This window comes from Homo sapiens, chromosome 3, assembly GCF_000001405.40.
Source record: "Homo sapiens chromosome 3, GRCh38.p14 Primary Assembly".
Lineage (NCBI taxonomy): Eukaryota > Metazoa > Chordata > Mammalia > Primates > Hominidae > Homo > Homo sapiens.
The window spans coordinates 11,768,595-11,781,854 of record NC_000003.12 but is presented as its reverse complement, the minus strand read 5'-3'; the positions used below and the strand labels follow the sequence as shown (position 1 = coordinate 11,781,854).

Sequence of the window (13,260 nt, the reverse complement as noted above, 5' to 3'; positions counted from 1 at the left end):
GCAGGCTGTGACTTCCAAGGTCACACCAATTTGTTGACGACTGGGACAAAAACCTGGGTCTCTTATTTGTATGATTATTATTATTATTATTATTATTATTATTATTATTATTATTATTTTGAGATGGAGTCCCACTTTTTCACCCAGGCTGGAGTGTAGTGGTATGATCTTGGCTCACTGCAACCTCCACCTCCCAGGTTCAAGCAATTCTCCTGCCTCAGCCTCCTGAGTAGCTGGGATTCCAGATGTGCACCACCATGCTTGGCTAATTTTCGTATTTTTAGTAGAGATGGGGTTTTGCCATGTTGGCCAGGCTGCTCTCGAACTCCTGACCTCAGGTGATCCACCAGCCTTGGCCTCCCAAAGTGCTGGGATTACAGGTGTGAGCCACCGCACCTGACCGGGTCTCTTACTTTTTACTTAATTCCCCTTTCGCTTCAGCATGCTGTTCTACCCACCCCACATATGGGTAAATTATAACAGGGCTAAGAGCTTCAGTAGCATTTCTGAGATCAGGAAGAACAAAACGTCTGAGCCCATCATTCTTTCCAAACACTACAGGACATCTGCCTAAATTTAGCTCCTAACTAACTTGAATTTCACTGTCCCCAACTCCTTGTATAACTGTCCTACTGTGACAACTGAGCTACAGATACAAGAAAGTCCCTAAAATTCCAGGTTGCAGTGGGTTACATAGAAGAGGATGACAGGACGTGGCAGATGAAAAGCAGGAGAAGTCTAAAGCCTATTCCCAGAGAGGAGGCTTTAGTTCAACTGGTATTAGTTGAATTACAGGAATAAAATGTTCCCAGACAGTGTTGGTTGGAGGAGATGGGATATGCCAAGATGACGGTGCTGTGGTGCTGCCTCAGTAAGCTTACAGTAAATCAAATAGAGAAGATAAAATCCACTCTCATAATGCAAGGTGAGAAGCGATCAATGCTGTGAACAGAAGTTCATTCATTCACTGATTTAGTCAAGTATTTAACAAAAATTTCATAAATGCCCTCTGCATACCAAGAGCTGGAGCCCTGGAGAGTTGTCCCAATTCTAAGGATCTTACAATGCAGAAAAGTAAAGTAAATTGTGAATTAGATTTCTCTGATAAGTACTTAATTACAGGGGTAACTATAGGGTAACTATAGAGATACCTCAAAGTGACAGGAAACTGGTTGAGCCATTACAGTGTGCCAGGCACTCTTCTAAGCACTTTCTATATATTTATTCATTTAATGCTCACCACAGCCTTATGTAACAGGGACTCTTATTATTCCCTATTACATGCATGAGGAAACAGAGGCACAGAAAACTAACAGGACAGCCTGGATCCCAAACCGGGCCATCAGGTTCCAAAGCCCTCCCTCTTAACCTCTTGACTAAACTGTCTTTCAGTCACTTGGTGTTCTCCCAATCTGGAGGGAAGCAGCAAGTGATGTCTAGCCTGTTACTTTAAGAACAAGTAGGGGTTAGCCAGAGGAGAAGGAAGAGTATTCCAGACATAGGACTATGGATATTCAAAAGCCCTAAATGAAGAGAACACAGTGTGTTGAGGGAACTAAAGTTAGTTCAAGATGAATAAAGTGCCAGACATATACTGTGCAGGAGTGAGGCTGGAGAAATGACTGAGGCCAGATCGTGAAAGGTCTTAAAATTCTTGTTAGTCTGTTCATTGTTATCCCCAGAGCAATGGAGAGCCAGCCAGGGATTTTTGAGCTAGAGAGTGTCAAAAGTGGATTTGCATTTTACAAACATCAGTGTGGCTGCACTATGGAGAATAGACTAGAAAGGGGAAGACTGTAGTCATCTAGTTGAGAGATGATGGTGGTCCAGGGCAGGATCACTGAGAATGGACCAAAAGGGACAGATTGAAGTGATGTCTAGGAAGTGGACTCAGTACAACTTGATGACTGACTATGGAGAAGGGCTTGCCAAGGCTCCCGCTGGCACAAATGGGAGAATGGTATGCCTGTTTCCTCAGCTGGGGATCCAGGAGGAGGGGCACATTTGGGGATAGCAGGAGGATGGTGATGAATTCGGGTCTGAACATGCTGCGTTTGGAATGTCTGTGGAAGATGTTGAGTAAACAGTTGGCTCCCCAGGTCTGGAGCTGGAAATGGAAATGTGAGAATTGGCAGCTAATAGATAGTGACTAAAGACACCATGGGAGTGAATGAGGATCTCTCAGGAAGTCTGTGGAGCACAGAGAAGAGACCCAAGGGCACACCAACAACAAACACCAGCATGAAGAGAACAAACAAACCTGAGAGGTAATCAGAGGAAAACACGGAGAGCAGGGGTCAAGTCACAGGAGATGGATGGTGACTGTATAGTTCGGACATTTGTCCCCTCCAAATCTCATGTTGAACTTGGATCCTCGGTGTTGGAGGTAGGGCCTGGTAAGAGGTGTGTTGGTCATGGGGCTGGCTCTCTCATGAAAAGCTTTACCATTCTCACTGGAGTGAGTGAGTTCTCACTCATAGTTCCTGCACGACCTGGCAATTAAAAGGAGCCTGGCACCTTCCTCCTCCTCTCTTTGCTCTCCCTTTAATTTGTAAAGAGTAAAGGTTTATTTGGCTCGTGATTCTGATGGCTGGAAAGTTCAAGATTGGGCATCTGCATCTGGTGAGGGCCTCACGCTGCCCCCACTCATGGCAGATGGGGAAGGGGGAACCAGTGTGTAGAGGTCACATGGCCCGAGAGAGAGCTGGAAAAGGCGGGTGCCAGGCTCTTTTGAACAACCTGCTCTCACAGGAACTAACAGAGTGAGAACTCACCACTGAGGGAGGGCATTAATCTATTCATTAGGGACCTGCCCCCATGACCCAGACACCTCCTATTAGGCCCCATTTCCAACGTTGGGCATCAAATTTCAATATTAGCTTTGGAGGGGACAGACATCCAAACCGTAGCATAGCAGACGCCCTCAAAAAAGTGAAAGGCTAACCTAAAGAATGGGAAAAAAATATTTGTAAATCATGTATCTGATAAGGCACTTATAACTAGGATATAAAGACAACCTTATTAAAAATAGGCAAAGGATCTGAACACACACTTCTCCAAAAAAGATACACGAATGGCCAATAAACACGAGAAGGTGCCCAACATCACTCATCATCAGGGAAATGCAAATCAAATCACAATGAGATACCACCTCACACCCACTAGGAAGGCTAAATAAAAAAGACACATAGTCATTTTCCGATGTTTTTTCCAAAAAAGAGATTAAAGGAGAAAAAAAAAGGACAAAAAAACAAGTGTTATTTTACAGAGACATGAAGACAGTGGAGCCCTCATGGGCTGCTAATGGGAATGTGAAGTGGGGCAGTTGCTGAGGAAACTGTCAGTTCCTCAAGTGGTTAAATATAGAGTTCCTGGGACACAGAGGTGGGCCATTGCTTGAGCCCAGGAGTTTGAGACTGGGCAACATAGCAAGACCCTGTGTCTACAAAAAATTTAAAAATTATCTGGGTTTGGTATGTGTGCCTGTAGCCCCAGCTACTTGAGAGGCTGAAGCAGGAGGATCACTTGACAAGCCTAGGAGTTGGAGGTTTGCTGTGAGCTGTGATCGCACCACTGCACTCCAGCCTGGGTGACAGAACGAGACCCTGTCTCTAAAAAGGAAAAAAAAACATAGAGTTCTCATATAACCGAGAAATTCTACTCCCAGGTATATATACCCAAGAGAAATGAAAATATATGTCCACACAAAAACTGGACAGTGGACTGTTAACCGACAATAAAAAAGAGTGAAATACTGATGCAGACTGTGACACGGATGAGCCTCGAAAACATGATGCCAAATGGAAGAAGCCTCACACAAAAGACCACATACTATACGATGTCACTTACATGAAATGCCAGGATAGCCAGATGTACCGAGACACGATGTAGATTTGTGGCTGCTGAGGGCCGGAAGTGGGTAATGGGGGGCTTGGGGGCTTAGGAGTGAAGCTAAGAATTGGGAAGTTTTCTTTTTAGGTTAATGGGAATGTTCTAAAACTGTATGATGGCGGTACAACTCTATAAATAAAAACGCTGAATTTACACTTTTTTTCTTTTTTGAGATGGAATCTCGTTCCCTCACCCAGGCTGGAGTGCAGTGGCAGGATCTTGGCTCACTTCAGCCTCCGCCTCCCGGGTTCAAGAGATTCTCCTGCCTCAGCCTCCCGAGTAGCTGGGATTATAGGTGCACACTGCCACACCCGGCTAATTTTTGTATTTTTAGTAGAGACAGAGTTTCACCATGTTGGCCAGGCTGGTCTCGAACTCTGGATCGCAAATGATCCACCTGCCTAGGCCTCCCAAAGTGTTGGGATTACAGGCGTGAGCCACCGCACCCGGCCTGCTGAACTGTACACTTTAAATGGCTGAATTCTATGGTATGTAAATTATATCTCAACGAAGCTGTTAGAAAGTTTTTCAATGCTGCTTCTTGGTTGGTTAAAACATTAATCCTGACGTCATTTAGTAGTACCTCAACTCCTTTTTGGAAATGCCCAAACCATTTTTTAGCTGGATTAGCTCTAATTGAAGAAGCAAAAGCTCAAATAGTTACCTTTTTTTCCTCTTCCGGCTTTATTGAAGTATAGTTGACAAAAAAAATTATATGTATTTAAGGTATACAATCTCATGATTTGATGTATGTATACATTGTGAAAAGATCACCACAATCAAGTTAATTAGCATACCCATATCCTCACATAGTTACCATTTTTGTCTGTGTGGTGAGAACACTTAGGAGCTACTCTCTTAGCAAATTTCAAGTAGACAATACATTATTTTTAAATGTAGTCACCATGCTGTAGATTAGATCCCCAGAACTGAATGTTTGTACCCTTTCACCAAAATCTTCCCATTCCACCTGACCCCTAGGAACTACGATTCTACTGTGTTTATGAGTTTGATGCTTTCAGATTCCACACAGAAGTGAGATCACACAGTCTTTGTCTTTCCATATCTGGTTTATTTTACTAAGCATAATGTCTCCAATGTTTCATCCATGTTGTCGCAAATGGCAAGATTTCTTTCTCTTTTATGGTGAAATAATGTTTGCAGGCTCCTTGACTTACAATGGGGCTGCGTCCCCATCAATTCATCGTAAAGTCGAAAGAGCGTTAAGTCCTGGATGGTCTGTCTCTGCAGTCACGTGTCACTTAATGACAGGGATACCCTCTGAGAAATGCGTTGTCAGGCAATTTTCTTCTCGTGAGCGTCATAGAGTGCACTTACAGAAACCTAGATGGCTTAACCTACCACTGCACACCTAGGCTACATGGGATGGCCTACTGCTCCGAGGCCACAAACCTGTACAGCAGGTTACTGTGCTGAATACCGAGGCAGTTGTTAACACAGTGGTGAGCACTGTGTGTCTAGACATGTCCACACATAGCAAAGGTACAGTAAGTCAGGCACAGTGGTCCACATCTGTAGTCCCACCTACTTTGGAGGCCGAAGCAGAAGGATTGCTTCAGTTCATGAATTCAAAGCCAGCCTGAGCAACATAGTGAGACCCTGTCTCTAAAAAAAAAATTTTAAATGGCCGGGCGCGGTGGCTCACACCTATAATCCCAACACTTTGGGAGGCCGAGGTGGGCGGATCATGAGGTCAGGAGATCAAGACCATCCTGGCTAACACGGTGAAACCCCATCTCTACTAAAAAAAAAATACAAAAAATTAGCCGGGCGTGGTGGCGGGCGCCTGTAGTCCCAGCTACTCGGGAGGCTGAGGCAGGAGAATGGCATGAACCTGGGAGGCGGAGCTTGCAGTGAGCCAAGATCAGGCCACTGCACTCTAGCCTGGGCAACAGAGCGAGACTCCATCTCAAAAAAAAAAAAAAATTAATTAATTAAAAAATAAAAGATCTATTTCTAAAAAAATTACCAACCAAAAGAAAAACATTTGCAAACAGCTGGAAGACAAGTGTAGAATGTACTGAGTTCATGGGGACACTGAAATTCTGATCTCACACACACACACTTCTCTTAAAAAAGAAACAGTTCAGTAAGAATACGGTATTATAATCTTATGGGACCACTGTTGTGTCTGTGGTCCATCACTGAAACATCGGCAGGCATGCAGTGCATGGCTGTATATATACATAAACACACCCCACGTTTTCTTGATCTGTTCATCTGTCAACAGACGCTTAGGTTGTTTCCATATCTTGGCTATTGTGAATAATGCTGCGCAAACGGTTATCTTTAGGATCAAATGGGACGACAGAGATGGTCACACCCAGCTCACATTAGGAGCTCAGTAAATAATGATTGTATCTGAATCTGAGTTAAGTTACTTCCACCAGTGCAGTGGCGTGACTTTATTTAAACTCAGCACACACATCTCTCTAAATCTATAACCATTTGCACACAAGTGTTGGAGATGTGACTGCAGAATGGCTAGGTCCTGGCCACCTTGGTGAAATTGTAACACTGTCCTGAAAGACAGTCGAGGGGTAAGTTGTTCACATGGGTTTCGGAAATCACCAGGGTGGTGGCGGGGAATGTGACAGGAAGAGGGGGACTAGGGCCCCAAAGCCTGGCAAACGTGGGGGCTGACCAGTGGTCCTTCAGTGATAGTTATAAGGAAAGTATTCTGGCTTATGGCTGGAACCTTGCTATGGTCTGAATTTGTGTGTCCCCCAACCAAAAAAAATGCCTGTACAAAAATAATGCATCTTAATATTAAAAAAGGCCAGGCGCGGTGGCTCATGCCTGTAATCCCAGCACTTTGGGAGGCTGAGGGGGTGGATCACGAGGTCAGGAGTTCAAACCAGCCTGGCCAAGATGGTGAAACGCCATCTCTACTAAAAATACAAAAATTAGCCGGGCACGGTGGCAGCCGCCTGTAATCCCAGCTACTCAGGAGGCTGAGGGCAGGAGAATCACTTGAACCTGGGGGGCGGAGATTGCGGTAAGCCGAGATCGCACCACTGCACTCCAGCCTGGGTAACAAAGCGAGACTCCGTCTCAAAAAAAAAAAAAAAATGCTTTCAATGTGATGGTATTAGGAGATGAGGATTTGGGAATTTATTAGGTCATGAGGGCAGATTAGGACACTATCAGCAAGACCCAGGGAGATCCTTTCTTCCTTCTTCTATGTGAAGTTGCAATGAGAAGTGGCCATCTATGAACCAGAAAGCCCTCACTAGACACTGAATCTGCCAGTGCCTTGATCTCAGACTTCCCAGCCTGCAGACTGAGAAATACATTTCTGTTGTTTATAAGCCACCCAGTCTATGGCATTTTGTTATAGCAACCCAAATAGACCAAGACAAACCTCCCAGGGAGAGCAGTAGGGCCCTGGGCAGTCTTGGGAGCCAGAGGATTGCAGGCGGCAGCTGGGGCCTGTGACATGTGGCTGTTTTACGGAAAGTGCTCCCTCTTCTGTCCATCTTGGGCTAGCCTGGCCATCTAGGTAACAGTCCCTCTGGCACTCAGTCACTGCTCTTATTGGCAGGCTGGAGAGCCTCCCTGTCAGCTTGGTTTGATGGAGAACTTTCCAGGTGCACATAGAAAGGGGCAGAGCACCTTTCTGATTCCCAAGGAAGCAAAGAAAGCAACTTTCATTCTACAGTGGTGAGAGAGCTCTGCCTGGCTCTGTTTTATCCAGGAAGTTTTCCTGTGCACAAAGTGTGCGTTCATAGAGTCGGAGAACAAGAGTGCTCAAACCTGTTGTAGGTGGCAGAACACCTGGAAATTATAGCTTCCTTTGCATAAGATGATGAAACACTGACTTTTCTTTTTTGTTTGTTTTGTTTTGGTTTTTTTGAGATGGAGTCTTGCTCTGTCTCCCAGGCTGGAGTACAGTGGCATGATCTTGGCTCACTGCAACCTCTCCTTCCTGGTTCAAGTGATTCTCCTGCCTCAGCCTCCCAAGTAACTGGGATTACAGGCATGCACCACCATGCCCTGCTAATTTTTGTATTTTTAGTAGAGACGAGGTTTCGCCATGTTGGCCAGGCTGGTCTTGAACTCCTGACCTCAGGTGATCCACCCACCTCAGCTTCCCAAAGTGCTGGGATTACAGGCTGAGCCACCGCACCCGGCCCCCAACACTGACTTTTCTATTTCTCATTGTATGAACCACAATTTAGCTCATAACACATTGATGGATTTAGCATCTAGGTTGGGCAAGAAACATTCTGCTTAATTAAATGTGCATACTGTTATAAATTAATGAAATCACAGCTAGAAGCCTACTGGCTCATGGAGAAAACAAGCTGTTGAGCTACTCAGGGTCAAGTTTCCAAGTGTCTCCATTACTGCTTGTTTGCCAACAGGTCTGGATGTTCTGCTAGTACTTGATGGTAGTCAAAAAAGAAAATGTCGGGGTGGGGCTGGGCACGGTGGCTCACGCCTGTAATCCTAGCACTTTTGGAAGCCAAGGCAAGAGGACTGTTTGAGGCCAGGAGTTCAAGACCAACCTGGCCAAAATAGCGAGACCCCACCTCTATTTTTTAAATTTTATAAAAAATTAAAAATGTTGGGAGAAAAATAGTTCACAAAGTGCTAGTCATTAACTAGCTTTTTTTTTTTTAAGCAAATCAAAAATAAAATAAGCAATACTTGGGGGCTTTGGAATCAAAAAGACCTGGGTTTGGCCAGGGATGGTGGCTCACACCTGTAATCCCAGCACTTTGGGAAGCTGAGGCAGGTGAATCACTTGAGGTTAGGAGTTTGAGACCAGCCTGTCCCATATGGTGAAACCCCAACTCTACTAAAAATATAAAAATTAGCTGGACATGGTGGTGTGTGCCTGTAATCCCAGCTACTCGGGAGGATGAGGCAGGAGAATTGCTTGAACCCGGGAGGCGAAGGTTGCAGTGAGCTGTGATCGCACCACTGCACTCCAACCTGGGCAACAGAGCTAGACTCCATTCCAAAAAAAGAGAGAGAAAGAAAGACCTGAGTTTGAATCAAGAGTATACCGTGTGACAGCAGGCAAGTTACTTAATCTCTCGGAACTGCCTCCTGTTCTTTAAGATGGAGACGATAAAGACCCTACTTGGCAGGATGATTCTCAAGATTAGCATCAATGTATGTAGAGCCCCTGGCACAGTGCCTCACCCTGAATAGGAGGCTTAATAAAGGAGGACAACTCTATGAAAAACATTATGGGGATTTCTCAAAGAACTAAAAATAGAACTACCATTAGACTCCAATCCCTTTACTGGGTATCTACCCAAAGGGAAAAGATGCATGCACTCATGTGTTTATGACAGCACTGTTCACAATCGCACAGATATACTGTCCATCAACCAAGGATCAGATAAAGAAAATGTGATACATACACACACCATGGATATACTCAGCCATTAAAAAAAAGAATGAAATCACGTCTTTTGCAGCAACATGGAACTGGAGGCCATTATCCTAAGTGAAATAACTCCGAAACAGCTAGATACCGCTTGTTGTCACTTGTGACAGCTAAACAATAGGTACATATGAACACACAGAGTAGAAAAACAGACACTGGGCTGGGCACGGTGGCTCACGCCTGCCATCCCAGCACTTTGGGAGGCCAAGGAGGGCGGATCACGAGGTCAGGAGATGAAGACCATCCTGGCTAACACGGTGAAAGCCCGTCTCTACTAAAACTACAAAAAAAAAAAAAAAAATTAGCCAGCTGTGGTGGCAGGCGCCTGTAGTCCCAGCTAGTCCGGAGGCTGAGGCAGGAGAATGGCATGAACCTGGGAGGTGGAGTTTACAGTGAGCTGAGATTGCACAACTGCACTCCAGCCTAGGCAACAGAGAGCGATTCTGTCTCAAAAAAAAAGAAAAAAAGAAAAAGAAAAACAGACACTGGAGACTATAAAAAGTGGGAGGGGGTGAGGGTTGGAAAATCACCTGTTGGGTAAAGTGTTCACTATTTGGGTGATGATGGGTACACCACTACACAATATACACATGTAAGAAAAATGAACCTGTACCCCTTAAATATATAAACTTTTTAAAATTAAAAATAAATAAACAGGCCGGGCGTGGTGGCTCACGCCTGTAATCCCAACACTTTGGGAGGCCGAGGTGGGTCGATCACCTGAGGTCAGGAGTTTGATACCAGCCTGGCAAACATGGTGAAACCCCATCTCTACTAAAAATACAAAAATTAGCCGGGCGTGGTGGCGGGCGCCTGTAATCCCAGCTACTTGGGAGGCTGAGACAGGAGAATCGCTTGAACCTGGGAGGCGGAGGTTGCAGTGAGCAGAGATCACACCACTGCACTCCAGCCTGGGCAACAAAGAGCTAAACTCTGTCTCAAAAATAAATAATCCATCTCAAAAACAAACAAACAAATCTGGCCACTGTACTCCAGCCTGGGCGACAAAAAGCAAAACTCCGACTCAAATAAATAAATAATCCGTCTCAAAAACAAACAAACAAATGAGGCAACAGAGACTCTGAAAAGAGCCCAAAGTCATCCATCAGGTTTGCCATGAGCCAGACGTAGAATCCCAACCTCCAGCAGCCTCCCCACCATGCGTGCTGTTCTCTTCTGCAAACCCAGGGCCTTTCTAAAACGCCCAGCCCGTCCCTGGAGGCCACAGGTTATTGCCTGTGTTCTCTTCTCTTTTGATAGCCAGCCAAGAAGAGGGAACGCAGGGTGACTCACCAGGTGAGCCAGTCCCCCATCCCTAGTGTCTCTTCCTGTTCAAGGAGGCACCTTTTGTGTTTCTTGTTATTTTTATTCCTCCCACTGTGGCTGTGCTCTGCTCAGATAATTCATAAAGGGCGTGCCTGTTGCTGCCTGAGGCCGCAGCTTGAGATGCTGACATCCAGACCACCTAGAGCAGGGAGGGACCTGGGTCCTAAGCCTAGAGAGAACTGCAGGGGAGAAGGGTGGACCAGCTGCCCGCCTCAGGGCTGCGGAGAGCAGGTCTGGGCAGAGAGGAGGGAACTGGGAGTGAAGGGGGTACATGTACCCACTTGTCTGCGAGCCTGGCCTGGCCCTCCAGCCCTCTGGGGAGAGACACCTGGGACTAGGGGGAGACAGGAGCTACACAAAAGAGGACCCTAGAAATGATGCATAGTTTTCACTATCTTGAAGACTCTGTTATTTAACACATGCCTCCCCTGCCCCCATGCTTGAAGGATGTTGGTAGGCTGTCGCTCGTACTTCTGTTCCTGCTCTAAGCGTGCTCTGTTCACGCCCAACACACCTTCCTGGTATGTGGCTCAGCCGGTCTCAGCTGCCAGCCAATCGTTCCTGACCTTCCTATTATGTCACCAGCAGCCAATCAGAGCTTCAGATCAGCACGCGCTCAGCAGTGTTACTACCCTGAGTTGACAGAATCGTAGCCGAGAGCAAAGAAACCACAGCTTTCATCAGCAAGCAGAGCATTTTAAATGGCTTTTTGAAAGCCAAAAATGCTTGCAAGTCGACCTCATTACTACTTTGGGAGAAATCCCAGTTGAGAGCCAGTGATCGAAACTGCCCCCTTTATTTTGCCCAGCAAGGGGAAGGGGCTTGGACAGAGAGGTGCAGGAGTTGTTAGAGAGGCTGGACCAGACACCCCCGGTCAGCTGCCCTCCAGGGTAGTGGTAGGGTGCATGTTTTTATGGGGCCACTTATGTACTCCTGAACTTTCTCTGTGTCTCCACCCCACACTGACTGATGAGCAGTCCACACATGGATGCCAATTTTGCAGAAGAGACGGAGACAGAGTCTGTGCAGCCCCACAGAGGCCAGAAGAGGCACCTGCTTCTCGCTCTCCAGCTCTTAGAGTGCGGGACCAATCACACATCTCCCCTGTGGATTCTATGAGATTGAACCAATTCTTCTTTACCTCAATTAACTGGAATCAAGTTTTCTTACATCGCAGACCAAATGAGGCTTTTCCAAGACTTTCTACCTTGTTTTCTAGGCTTCTCCTTGCCTGGGCCTGTGAGTTCCTTGGCAGGCTTGTCACAGATAGAAGCTCCACACCTCCCAGGTGGCTGCAGTGGCTGTGAGTGATGCTCTTTGCATAACTAGGTGTTCTGCCTGCTTTGTAGGAAATGCGAGCTGGGCCGTGAGGCGTGTAGTCACACTTTCCAGCACAGCCGAGGTAGAGGACCTGACTCCTCTTGAGGCTGAAAGATACCCTCTGCCTTGGTTGCACTTCCCTCACCCCATTCTGATTTTCTCCATTCATGAGAGAATTTCCACATAGTCAGTGGTCTCCTTGCCTTCATTCCCACCTTAGTCTAATATAGGAGTTGGTAAATGATGGTCCTCAGGACAGATCCATACCTCCTGGCTTTGTAAATACATGTGCATTAGAACACAGCCGGGTTCTTTCTTAAATGAAATACTTAAATGTATTGTCTTATGGCTGCTTTCACACTACAGCAGCAGAGTTGAGAAGTTGTAACAAAGACTGTGTGGTCCACAAGGCCACAAATATTTACCCTTTGGCCTGCTGACCCCTTAATCCATCCAACTGGCTGCCTGTGAGTGATCTCTTAAACCTCAGATCGAACCACACCACTCTTCTGCTTACAAAAAAAAAAAAAAAAAAAATCTCTTGGGAGGCCAAGGCAGATGGATTATTTGAGGTTAGGAGTTCAAGACAAGTCTGGCCAACATGGTGAAACCCCATCTTTACTAAAAATACAAAAATTAGCTGTGCGTGGTGGCACACACCTGTAATCCCAGCTACTCAGGAGGCTGACGCAGGAGAATCGCTTGAACCCGTCAGGTTAGAGGTTGCAGTGAGCCAAGATCACACCACAGCACTCCAGCCTGGGCGCAGAGTGAGACTGTTTGTAGATGGATGCTCCTTAGTGAGGCTCTTCATGACGTGGTCCACTCCCTTCCACTCCTCCCCTCCACCCTCTGTCTCTGCTCACCCTCGGCTCTCACATCCTCAGCCATGCCCTTGACCAGGCCGTGCCTGATGGCTAGAATGTCCTTCTCCTTTCACCATCTGTCAAATGTCTGAATATCTCTTAAGACCAAATTCAAATGTCACCTCCTCCTGCACCCCTTCTAGGTGCCTAGCAGAATTACCTGCTCCCTCCACTGTGCTCCTAAGCTCTGTGGGTAGATAACCATCTGCGACCGCAATGACATATTTATGTGTTTCTCTCTCCCACTAGATAGTGAGCTACTGGAAATCAGGAACCTTGTCTCATTGCCTTTTCTGCCCTGCCAGGAATGGAGCTGAACCATTTGGATAAGTCAGAAGCAGACTGTTACAAAAGTGCCAGGAGGACTATAACATCTTGTCTATGCCATTTCTGATAATCAACTAACTGGTTTCTCCTTCTTCTCTAAATTTC

At 46.1% G+C, this 13,260-nt stretch overlaps 1 protein-coding gene across 1 annotated transcript in view, besides 1 other annotated feature; it reads left to right on the top strand.

Annotated features, from left to right (window-relative positions):
* The window catches only part of TAMM41 (TAM41 mitochondrial translocator assembly and maintenance homolog), a 124,990-nt gene that overhangs the window by 65,031 nt on the left and 46,699 nt on the right, over nucleotides 1-13,260 (top strand). The window lies entirely within an intron of this gene.
* Nucleotides 7,206-7,500: an enhancer, noted in NCBI's record as "tiled region #5418; K562 Activating DNase matched - State 12:CtcfO". NCBI's record gives its function as "activates a minimal TATA promoter and a strong SV40 promoter by Sharpr-MPRA in K562 cells {active_cell/tissue: K562}" and the evidence as "EXISTENCE:reporter gene assay evidence [ECO:0000049][PMID:27701403]".